The sequence below is a fragment of the Homo sapiens genome, chromosome 12 (genome assembly GCF_000001405.40).
Source record: "Homo sapiens chromosome 12, GRCh38.p14 Primary Assembly".
Taxonomy (NCBI): Eukaryota; Metazoa; Chordata; class Mammalia; order Primates; family Hominidae; genus Homo; species Homo sapiens.
This window is the reverse complement of record NC_000012.12, coordinates 92613067-92625575: the sequence shown is the minus strand read 5'-3', so window position 1 is coordinate 92625575 and position 12509 is coordinate 92613067. Positions and strand designations below refer to the sequence as shown.

At 39.4% G+C, this 12509-nt stretch overlaps 2 long non-coding RNA genes across 2 annotated transcripts in view, besides 1 other annotated feature; one reads left to right on the top strand and one right to left on the bottom strand.

Annotated features, from left to right (window-relative positions):
* Nucleotides 1–12509, bottom strand: part of LOC105369905 (uncharacterized) — a 72972-nt gene that overhangs the window by 4680 nt on the left and 55783 nt on the right. The gene's annotated exons all lie outside the window — the stretch shown is intronic.
* Nucleotides 1–12509, top strand: part of LOC124902983 (uncharacterized) — a 57302-nt gene that overhangs the window by 29432 nt on the left and 15361 nt on the right. The gene's annotated exons all lie outside the window — the stretch shown is intronic.
* Nucleotides 9097–9297: a silencer, noted in NCBI's record as "peak1887 fragment used in MPRA reporter construct". NCBI's record gives its function as "represses an SCP1 promoter by STARR-seq MPRAs in K562 erythroleukemia cells {active_cell/tissue: K562}" and the evidence as "EXISTENCE:reporter gene assay evidence [ECO:0000049][PMID:32103011]".

Genomic DNA, 12509 nt, shown 5'->3' with positions numbered 1-12509 from the left:
ATTTTAATAATGAGTAATGTGGTCTCATGCATTTAATTCAATTTAGAAAAAGTTGGAAAGCATCAGGGTGCCAAAAATTGGGACAATTTATCCTTAATTGGACATTCATTGATCTTAAGCCAGTCGACTGTGGTTTAATTGTCAAAGCAAAGAACAAAATTATAGAACATGTGCAAAACTCTAAAAATCAATGGTCAAAGATTATATTTAGAATTGGATGAAATTAGGAATTTTTTTATAGCACACTGAACATGGAGTCCCATTTACTGAATACATAATCGTGATGTTCAAGTTTAACCAATTTGAAAATTTTCAGCAATGCATTATGTAGGAAAATTGAGAACTTCGTATGTTTTGCTTAATTCTCCAAATTCTTCAAAGTAGACGTAGATTTCACCGTTACAGAGAAGTCATATGCTTAGGAAGTGGCAAAGCTGCATTATTAGTTTGTTAGGACTCCTATAACAAAGCACCACAGAGTCAGTGGCTTAAACAACAATTTACTTTTTCATAATTATGGAAGGTAGAAGTTCAAGATCAAAGTGTCATTAAGTTTGGCTTCTTTTAAGGCCTCTCCCCTTGGCTTGCAAATGGTTGCCTTCTCCCTGTGTCTTCAGATGGTCTTTCCTCTGTGTGCCCACATATCTCTTATAATCTCCTTCAATAGGGATACCACCATATTGGATTAGGGCCCACCTATAGGAGCCCATGTTACCTTAATTACCTCTTTAAAGGTTCTATTTCTAAATCCAGTCACATTCTGGGGTCCTAGGGGTTAGGATTCAACTTCTAAAATTTAGGAGAGAGGGACACAATTTAGCCCATAATATTATGACATGATTCAAAGCTAGTGACTGTAAACTCATCTTTTTTTTTTTTTTTCAAGAAGAGAAGAACTTATCTTGAGGAATTAGGACAGAGAGAAGATGGCAAAAAAGAAACTCATAATTGGAGGACCAATATAGGAAAAAGTGATTCAGAATGCCAAAGATAGAAATCAGCCCTGAAAGGTGAATTTTTTTTCCCTAAATCATTATGTTTTACTTTTCTATTGATACAATAAAACAAAACAAAACAACAAAAACTCTTTTGGCTTTAAGCGGCTTGACCCCAGTGTAAAGTTTGAAGAATTAGGTCAGGCACATATTACTGCTCTGAGTAATACAGCAGCTGCCTCACTGCAAAATGACTAAGGTGTTCAGAGAACTTTAATCAACCTAATCAGGTCATCTGTGGGACTTAAAGGGGTCTGGTTACAAATCTTCAAAGCTCTGAACTACTTTCTGCATCCACAGGCTAAAAGGGTTATTAAGTTAGTTGCACAGAGAGATGGAATTAATACTACTTGATTGAGCTAAGGGCATCATATTCTAAAAAGCAATTAAAATAATTCGGACCTTTGAAAAGTAAATCAGTGAATTTTGATGTTACATTTGAATCTGGGAAAAGGCAAATAGTGAATTTAATAAGTATGAATGAGTCTTTTAACTGAAGAATTTTTAGGGGATTTTAGTATATACTTTTCTTTGAAAAGTAATTTAGTGATCATAAAATCCAGATTTTTGCATTCCCTTTTATGTACACAAAGACTTTTGCTTTCTGCGTGTGAAGTACATCACAATTCATAGTTTATACATATATATATATACCAATATATATATATTCATATATAGTAGCCAAAATTTCATTAATAGCCCATTTTCCCAGGCTTTCAGAAATCATTTGCTTTGTTACTTCAATTGACTGCACAGTAAAATGTGAAAGTTGGCAGAGTGACTTCTGGGGAGCAAAAATGTACATTAAGAACTGTTTGAGTACTCAAATAATAGAATTTGAGTTATAAGAAAATCCCTTAGTTGTCAATCAAAGGCAACAGATTAATTTCTAAGGAGCTTAATAAGCCTGAGTTTGAACATGCAAATTAGAAAAGGACTTGACCAAAATAACTACAAAGAAAGCAGTGAGGAGTGGTAGAGAGAAATGACTGCACACACAAAATATGCTTGAGGAATAGCCAGTTTTAAAAGCTTTGATAGGCAGTGAAGGCATTACTTTGCAGTGACTTAGGTTATATCAATGATCCAGAGTCATAAAGAGTTAAATAGCACCTATAGCTTCTATTTAAGAGGGAAGATTACTGTGAAATGCACATGATATCTCTGGAAAACTAAATTCCATGTACTATGCTATTCATTCATTTATTCACTAATTAATAGATGATATATCAAACACCTACTATTTATTATCCAACAAATACTCGTTGAGTGCCTTCTCTTTCAGGCATTGTCTTAGACTCTGGGAATATACCAATGAGCACAACAGATATAAATATCTGCCCTGTACCACCTATGCTTTCATTTTAGTTGGAGGAAACAGACAATAAAATGGTAAATAAGTAAATGTCTTTGTCCACTTTGTGTTCCTATAACAGAATACCACAGACTGGATAATTTATAATAAAATGTATTTGGGTCATGATTTGGTGGGGCTGAGAAATCCAAGATCGAGTTGTATCTGATGAGGGCCTCCTTGCTGTGTCACCCCATGGCAGAAGGGAAAACAGACAGCAAGAGATCAGACTTGCAGTCTCAAGCCCTTTTAGAGTCAGCATTAATCTATTCATGAGGATGGAGCCCTCATGACCTAAACACCTCCCATCAGGTCCCACCTCTCAACACTGTTGCACTGGATATTAAGTTTCCAACAAATGCTTTATGGAGGACACATTCAGACCATAGTGGTAACATATAGAATGTCTACACAGAATAGACAGTGTTACGTGCTATGAAGGAAAATAAGACAGGAAGTAATCTACCCAAATGAGAAACATATTGCATTCAAAATCCTCTTGAGAAGATATAGAAGGGCTTGGCAGTTAGAGCAGCAGACTAGAAAACAGAAATTGGCATTATGACACTAATTTTGCTACCAAATGCATTGGGTAATAAGGTGTTTCATCTTTGTTTACCATAGTTTCCCTACTCTAAAAAGACATTTATGGAATTTAGTTTTGATGGTTAAATTATAAAATTATAGTTTTACAATATAAAAATTACAAAAATCAATTCACTCAAGATGTGTATTGACAGCTATGATATGTACCATACCATATATGTTGATGAATGTCTTTTGTATGCAAATAAGATGGCTGGTGGCTGAGAACTTCTAGATAGCTTTGGAATGAGGGCTGCTTGCTAGAAAGACCAAGGCATGACTAGAGGTTTGAAAGAAAGAGATTTGAGATTGAGATAATCACTAAAAACTGAGTTACTCACCAATGGCCAGTGATTTAGTCAGTCATGTCTACATAAACAGACCACCATAAAACCCCCTAATCTATAAAGTTTAGAGAATTTCAGGGTTGGTTAACACTTGGGGTTCTGGGAGGTACAAAAATGGCATGCAACTCCATGCACCCTTTGTTGAAGGCCGAAAGAATGAGGATCGTGATCAACTCAGTATACCACTGGAAGCTATATGAGTAAACAGCAAACTGTTTCTCATGAAAGCAGGATGTTGGCAAATTGACAAACTGCATCTGCCACCCAGAAGGAATGCTGAGGGCAGTCATGACCCAGGCACAAGTATTTCTTGTAATTAGGCACAGCTGAAGCCTGTTAGCAATAATGTGAACCTGTGATCAATTAAGCAGCTGACCATTCATTACCTCCTGCTCCTTGCTCTTTCTACCCAATAAATATGAAGGGCTATAGAGGCTCAGCCGGCTGCTGCCTTTGCTCACTAGAAGCAGGGAGCCCTCTTCTTCTTCCCCTGGCTGCTTTCTTTAAAATAGTTCCTTTTGTGTTAAGTTTTCATTTCTGTGTTTGTCCTCCTTTGTTCAGTCTCGTAGTGATGGTCTCAAGTAGTAACCGAGGCAGCCTGCCACAAGTGGCGCTGGAACAGGGACAATCAGGGACAAACAGAGACCTGAAGGGACCTGAAGAGGCCTGCAGGGACAAAGGGACAAATAGAGATAAGTAGGGATAAATAGAGACAAACAGAGATAGGTAGGGAAAGATAGAGACTTGCAGGAACTTACAGGAACCAACAGGGACCATAGGGACAGACAGGGGCAGATAAGGATAAAGACTAGCAAAGACTAGCAGAGACTAGCAGAGACTAGCAGAAGCTAGCAGAAACTTGCAGGGACAGACAGGGAAAGATAGGGTCCTATAGGGACTTGAAAGAGGAAGGTCTGCTGGAGTAGAAGAAACTAAAAGCCCAGAAAAAAACTAAAACCAACCAGACAAACGAGAAACCCCGTTACAAGTGTGCTGGCAGCAATATAAGGTCAGTGCTCTAAAAAGGTACTGGTCAGTGCCCTAGAGGTATAAAAAATGGGAAGTTTTTAAATCAGGGTAACATGGGGAAGAATTTGGCTATTTCTTTTCTTTTTTTTGTTTGAAGTTTGGTTTGTACTGTCTTTTTGCTATTATTTCAGGGTTTGAGAGAATTTTTTGCCCCACCTACAGCACCTATCAAAAGTGGTAAACAGGAGAAGGAGGATGAAAATTGGCTTGTACCATCTTCTTTTGTGGCTGCAGAAATGCTAGCTTTGGCTTTGGCTTTTGGGAATGCAAACAGATTGTAAACGTGCACTGGCACCTGTGAGATGTACAAAAGGCTTAGGAACACCTGGAAGCGCAGGATTAGATCTCCCAGTCACAGAATGGGTTACATTAATTGGAGGAAACAAATTCACTAAGATTCCCACTGGTATTTGGGGACCTTTGCCAACAGGATACATGGCATTAATTCTGGATAAAAGTCATCTTAACATACAGGACATTACTGTAGTCCCACGAGTTGTTGATTCCGATTGTGAAGGAGAAATTCAGTTAGTGGTAATGTTACAAGATCTTTGGGTTTTTGAACCAGGGAGAATATATTGCTCAACTGTTGCTTATTCCCTGTAAATTACACCTTTCTCCACAGAAGGAGAAACGAGGGAATCAGGGATTTGGAAGTACAACTAGGAGGGAAATTTATCTGTCACAACCCATAGCATCTAATAGACCCACTTGTGCAGTGTAAATTGAAGGAAGTAAGTTTTGTGGGCTTATGGATACAGGAACAGGAGACTGGAGGGACTCATGGATCCCAGCCATGGGCCTGGTTCCCTCAGCACCAGCTGAATGCAAAGCCAGAATGAACCACCAACCGGCAATTGAAGGCTGCACATTTTGCAATTGCCTTTCTCAATTAATTCAAAAACAGAAGAAGGGAGATGTTGAAGGCCAAAAGAATGAGGGTCGTGATCAACTCAGTATATCACTGGAAGCTATATGAGTAAACAGCAAACTGTTTCTCATGAAAGCAGGATGTTGGCAAACTGACAAACTGCGTCTGCCACCCAGAAGGAATGCTGAGGGCAGTCACGACACAGGCACAAGTGTTTCTTGTAATTAGGCACATCTGAAGCCTGTTAGCAATAATGTGAACCTGTGACCAATTAAGCAGCTGACCATTCATTACCTCCTGCTCCCTGTTCTTTCTACCCAATAAATATGAAGGGCTGTAGAGGCTCAGCCGGCTGCTGCCTTTGCTCACTAGAAGCAGAGAGCCCTCTTGTTCCCTTGGCCCCCTTCTTTAAAATAGTTTCATTTCTGCGTTCGTCCTCCTTCTTGCAGTCTCATAGTGACAGTCTCAAGTAGTAACTGTGGCAGTCTGCCACAACCCTTCACCCCATACCTTGCCCTATGCATCTCTTTTATTTGGCTGTTCCTGTGTTGTATCCTTAATAATAATTCAATGATAGTGAGTAAAAGGCCTTCCTGAGTTCTGTGAGACATTCTACCAAATCATTAAACCTGAGGAGTGAGTCTAGGGACCCTCTCCCCCATTTATAGCCAGGTGATAACAAGTATGGGAGAGCAAGGACTTGTGATTGGTGTCTAAAGTGGGGGCAGTCTTAGGGAACTGAGCCTTTTAACTTGTGGAATCTAACACTAACTCCAGGTAGATAGTGTCAGAATTGAATTGAATTATTGAACACTCAGCTGGTTGGAGAATTATTTGGAGTGGGAGAATCCCCACACACATTTGGTGTCAGAAGTGTTGTGAGTGAAAATGGTTCATATTTCCTTTGGAGCAAAGACCTCTAGGCCAGCAGAGGATAAAGTTGCAGGAACAAGAAGCAAAAATTTGCTAGTGGTTCATTAAGGGTAGCAGTAAGTGGTGCCACTCCCATTTCCTTTATTCCTGGACCCATGAATTTTGGCCGTGAGATCCAATATATGGGCTATGGGAGCACGATATGTTTGACATTGACTCACAGCATATACAGCCTCCTGGAGAACTTTGTGCCAGCCCTGCAAGGTATTGCCACCTAGCTGGTACTGTGAGTATTTAAAAGGCAATTCCACTGTTCTAGGAAGACAGCTGCTTCAGGATGGTGGGCAATGTGGTAAGATGTGAATTCCATGAACATGGGCCTGTTGCTGCACTTCTTTTGCAGTGAAGTGAATTCCCAGATTGGGAGCAATGCTGAGTGGAATACCATTATCAGGATAAGGCATTCTGTAAGTCTTCAAATGGTAGTTTTGGCAGAAACATTGTATGCAGGGAGGGTAAATCCATGTCCAAAGTATGTGTCTCTTCCAGTAAGAGCAAAATGATGTTCCTTTCATGGTAGAAGTAGTTCAATATAATCAATCTACCAGTAAGAACTGGCTGATCACTGTGGAGAATGGTCCCATGTTGGGAGCTCAGTGTTGGTCTCTGCTGCAGCCGATTGGGCCCTCAGCAGTGGTTGCAGCCAGGTCAGCCTTGGTAAGTGGAAGTCCACACTGCTGAGCCCATGTGTAACCTCCATCCCTGCCACCATGGCCAGTTAGGTGGTGACAAGGGTGGTTGGGGAAAGAGGTTGACTTGTATCCATAGAGCAGATCATCCTATCCACTTAGTTATTAAAATTCTCCTCTGCTAAGTTTACCATTTGGTGAACATTCACATGAAAGAAATATCTTCATATATTTTACCCAGAGAGGTTTATCCACATACCTCTTCCTGAAATGTCCTTGTCACCAATTTTCTAATCATGTTCCTTCTAAATCCCTGACCATCCAGCCAAACCATTGGCTAAAGCCCATTAATCAGTATATAATTACATATCTGGCCATTTCTCCTTCTAAGCCAAATGAACAGCCAGGTGCATTTCCTGGTGTTCTATCCACTGGGAGGAATTCCCTTCATCACTCTCCTTCAGGGATGTTCCAGAAAGGAGTAGTAGTGCTATAGCTGTTAACTTTTGGGTGGTGGTGTAAGACATTGAGAGCCTGGTTTGGGGACATAGCAATGGGAAGAGGACAGACAGTTGTAAAGGCTAGTTAGTGGAAGAACTAGCAGAGAAGTGCGTATTATGCAGAACCATCTGTAAACCAGGCCTGAGTCTTTCTCTGTCAACTGATCATAGGTCACTCCCTCTGAGGCCATAGGTGCAGGCTGGGAGAGAGAAGGCAATGTAGCAGGAGTGGGGTCCAAGGGCATTTGAGCCACTTCTTATAACTTGTGCCTTCAGGTCCTGCTTGGGCCCAATCACATGTATGCCACTTCCACTTGATGATGAAGTGCTGCTGTATGCACCCATCTTTGTGATGTGGAGGGTCAGACAAATGCCAGTTCATGATGGGCATCTCAGGTGACAGGGTAACTCAGCCCCTGGTCAAGTGTTCAGTTTCTACCGAGGCCTAATAACAGGCCAAAAGCTGTTTCTTGAAAGAAAAGTAGTTAGCTGTGGATGGTGGTGGGGCCTTGTTCCAAAATTCTAACAGTCTAAGCTGCAATTAACCTATGGGGGCCTGAAGAAGGCTCCAAACAGCATCCCCATCTTCCATGGACACTTCGAGCACCATTAGATCTACTAGATTCCATGGCCCAAGTGGAGGGGCAGCTTGCATAGCAGCCTGGACCTGTTGCAGAATCTTCTTTTATTCTAGGCGCCACTCAAAACTAACAGCATTTTGGGTCACGTGGTAAGTGGGCTGGAGTAATGTACCATTTCTCTTTTCTTTTTTTTTTTTTTTTGAGACGGAGTCTTGCTCTGTCACCCACGCTGGAGTGCAGTGGCACAATCTTGGCTCACTGCAACCTCCACCTCCTGTGTTTAAGTGATTCTCCTGCCTTAGCCTCCTGAGTAGCTGGGACTACAGGCGCATGCCACCACACCCGGCTAATGTTTTGTATTTTTAGTAGAGACAGAGTTTCACCGCGTTAGCCAGGATGGTGTCAGTCTGACCTCATGATCCACCCACCTCGGCCTCCCAAAGTGCTGGGATTACAGGCGTGAGCCACCGTGCTCAGCCTTCTCATTTCTTAAATGAGAAATATATTGTCTCCAACATTCTCTTGAAGACACATGGAAGGGCTTGGCAGTTAGAACAGCAGACTAGAAAGCAGAAATGGGCATTATGATACTAATTTTATTACAAAATGCATTGATTTAATATGATATTTCATTTTTCTTCACCATAGTTTCCCTACCATACAAAGAAAAAGGCATTTGTGGAACTTAATTTTGGCAGTGGAAGTCTAAAATTATAGTTTTACAGTATAAAAATAATGGAAATCCATTCACTCAGGATGTGCATTGGACAGCCATGATATGCACAGTACCATATTTGTTGTCATTAAATGCCCAAAATGTATAATCTACCCCTATTTTTTGAGGCACTTCAAGCAGGACCCTGCACACAGCAGGTACTTAATAAGTGTTACTTGAAGGCCCCATTTTTCACAAAGCTTAAAATCTATTTGAGGAAACTAAAAGACAACTTGACAGACTCAATAGTGGCATGGCAGTCCTGCAGCCATTTGTTGCACAGTTGATTTTCAATGAACACCCAGTAGGTTGCTCAAGCCAAGAGAATCTCTTGGGCAATGGTGGCTTCAGAGCTTCATGGGACTTACAGAGAATATATGGAAAGAAAAGAAGGTGCTTCAGGCAGGGTATATAGCCACTGGATCTCTCACAGTTTGTGGAAGTGGAACCATCCACCTGGAGAAAAGGGCTTGTGTTGAGAAATAATGGAAGGTGCACCTACAAGAAGTCTGGGGCCTCTACTTTGGCCCTGAGCTATGACATGGGAACTTTATTCTTTGTCTTATCAATAGTGGCTGTCTTTGTGGTTATGCAGAGGAGTAACAAGTTTAAAGCAGCACTTAAGAAAGATCTACTTGGTGTCAACAAAAGCAATGAATTGGAGAGGACCCAAATTGGAAGCAGGATACTATTAAGATATTTTCAGCATAGTCAAGGTGTGAGATATTGAGAGCCTGGTTTGAGGAAGTATTGGTGAAAATAGGACAGACCATTGTAAAGGCCAGTTAGTGGAGGAAACAGTAGAGAACTAATAGAGCTTGGTTATTGGAGAGAGTAAGGTGGGGAAAAGGAAGAATGAAAGACAAGTACATTTGAAGCTTGTGTGGCTGAAAGAATAAAGTAACTTTGATAATATAACAAAGATAAGTAACAAATAAAATAGAAGAATAAAGAAAGAGAAGCCAGATAAAAAGGAAAAATCAATTATTTTAATTTTATACTAATATAAGACATTATTATTAATGGCACAGCTCCTAATTCTCTATTTACGTAATACCTTATAGTTCACCGGGCACATTCCCAGGTATGATACATCATTTGTGATGAAGCTAGAATAGCACAATAGAAAGCCATAGGTGGTTAGAAGAATGCAAATACAGTTGGAAAGAGAGGGGAGAGATGTAGCAACAATAGCTTAGAAACTCCTCCACATGGAAGTATATTGAGCAAATAGCACACAATAACTCATTTCATACTCTTGTTTAACTCTTATTTGTGTTACTTAAAGTAGTATATCTATAATTGAATCCATTAAATCCTTAATGTTCATTTCTTTTCCTCAATAACTAGTGAGCTGTATTTTGAAATACCAACCAGTGTTTTGAAATAATTCTTCAAATAATGTTTTTATCCCAAGTCTTACCATACTTTTTTCTTTTATATATAAATACAAAATATACATAAAATTTCAAATATATATAATATATATGTGTCTGTATGTGTATATATATTTCCATTTGCAGATTTAGCAGTATACTGGAACAAAACCAAAACAGGATCTGCTATTGGATGTTTTTATCAGCTAGTGCTGGGGAGAATGATTGGAAAACTGAATTGCAGTAGTATTATTAAAATTCATGAACCAGAGAATTACCAATGTGTAATATTCAAAAATGCAGTGGGTGCTAAGTATCTTTGACACATTCCTTAAAGCTTTAACCATCTTGGGGAAAAAATGTTAGAAGTCTGTCAGGAACATATTGGATTTTCCTAAAGCATATGGTGATGAAATAGTATATCATTTTATGAGAAAATATTGTCATACTGGCTTCCTGGCCCAACATTTCATAGTCATTTTATATTTCTATTTTGTAGTTATCTTTTAGTGCTCTTTATTTTAGGATGAATTTCTTTCCTGGTCTTGAAGAATGTCATTGTTTCACCCCCTCTCTCTTTCTTTTGGCCATTCCTTTGTTTTTATTCTTCCTTCAAGGGTCTTTTGTTCTCTAAAATAGTTTTTATACTGTGTTTCAAGACTGAGAGGTGTGTGCTTCGATCAAATTTTTGTTTTGAGGACATTAGGAGCGTTTTTTATCTTCCCTTTCTCCACCCCATGGTTTGTGTGCTGCTGCTGTTTCATCCTCTTTCTGCAGTACTTGCTTTCGTCCCAGACCTGGCTGGATTGCAAGAATGGAAATGGTTATTCTCTAGCTTGCATTTGAAAAAAAATCCATTTTTATTTCAAGAGGATGACGGACACACACAAAAAATGTATGCCACTGGGCCCTTTTACCACATTTTCTGTTTGGTCCCCTTCGGCTCTTTCAAAACATTGAGCGTGTTCCCAGAATTGGTCAAAACCACATTGCCCAGTTGCAGGCAAAGCTGTGGGTTGGCATCCTCTGGGAGTGGCTGGTTGGGAAGCTCAATTTCCAAATTCCTGGAACTGTCATATTAATCTGTATTTTAAGGCAATGAAGGAGCAATACATCCTTCCCCAAGGGCTTTTATTGTCTTAGAGTTTCAGAGGCCATGTGGGCATTTCTAGTTGGCTGTGAATTTCAACAGCCAACTATGTATACTCTCAATGTTAAGACCTGGTGAGCTTGGATAAATTGTCCCTCAACAGAGTTCCTTACTTGAGGCAGCTATGATGCAACTCATCATCTCCCTCTGTAGCACACTTCACCTGGGCTACATCCTTCCTGGTTTTTGGAGAAAGACTTCTCTTGGACCTGAGGCAAGTGCATGAAGTTTCAGTCTGTGCAGGGCGGTTAGAAACAGTGTGTCAGACAAACATTCCCTATAAGCCAATAAATTTCCAGAGGAATGGTTGACATATGAGCCATCTAAAAATGCTATTTAAAAAATCTATAAACATTATTTTAAAAATATCATTACGTGAGCACATTTTGGAGGAGACATTTGAAAATGAAGAGACAAAATAAAATGGTATTCATTCAAACCCACTCATGACTCACATTGGAAATGTTATTGAATTTTTTTAAAAGAGATTTCTATAGATGATAGAAAGTTGCTATAATGTCATAACTTCTCTTTGTAAAACAAGTTAGCAGAAATGAAAATCTTCCCTGAAACTACCCTCTAGTGCAGAACTGCCACAAAGAATCAAAATCCAGAATGAGAGTCAATTACAGATGGTATCATTGAAGTAGGATGGACAAGAATGGGAAACATGGGTTTCTTAGAAATGTATACATAAAATAAAAGGGTACTAAGCACAACTGTGACAAGGACCATGGCTTTCTTCTCTCTGCTTACCTTCCTCATTTCTTTCCTTTTGCCTTTTCTCCCTCAGCTTCCCTACTTTTTGCATTCAACCAATGCATCTTTTCCTTTGCGGTTTATTCATTTGGGACCTGAATCACTTTAAAAGTACTTAGATTGACTCATCAGTGTCATTGAAATATCTAAAGTATAATACTGTTGGGGCAAAAATTATTTTCTTTCATAAAATTAATTTAAAAATAGTTAAATTCCACCATATTTTTTCATTTTCCATCTTAGAGCCACTTTGTTACCTCAGTTATACCCTGCTTAGAAGCCTTCATGTTTCTGCTAGTGTCAATTCCTCTTTCTAGAATATTCTAGAATATTCTTTATCCCATTTCTCACTTACTGAAATCCTTAGTGTTGGTCGAAGCCTAACTCAAATGTCACTTCTTCTGGAAGGGCTTCTTTCAACAGATATTAATGGAGGGCCGTCTTCATGCCAAGTAGTATTCTAAGGGCTGGGGACATGCAGTGAACAAGGCTCACATAGAATTTACATGCTAAGAGTTGGAGATAGCCATTGTTCAATAACCAAAAAAAGTAGATATATAACATGTCAGGTGTTATAAGTACAATTAGGTAAAATAAAGGAGAGTCATGGGCTAAAAAGTGGTGGGGGAAGACCAGAGAGAAGAATATAATTATTCTCCCTTTTGTACTTCTATAGCATATAACT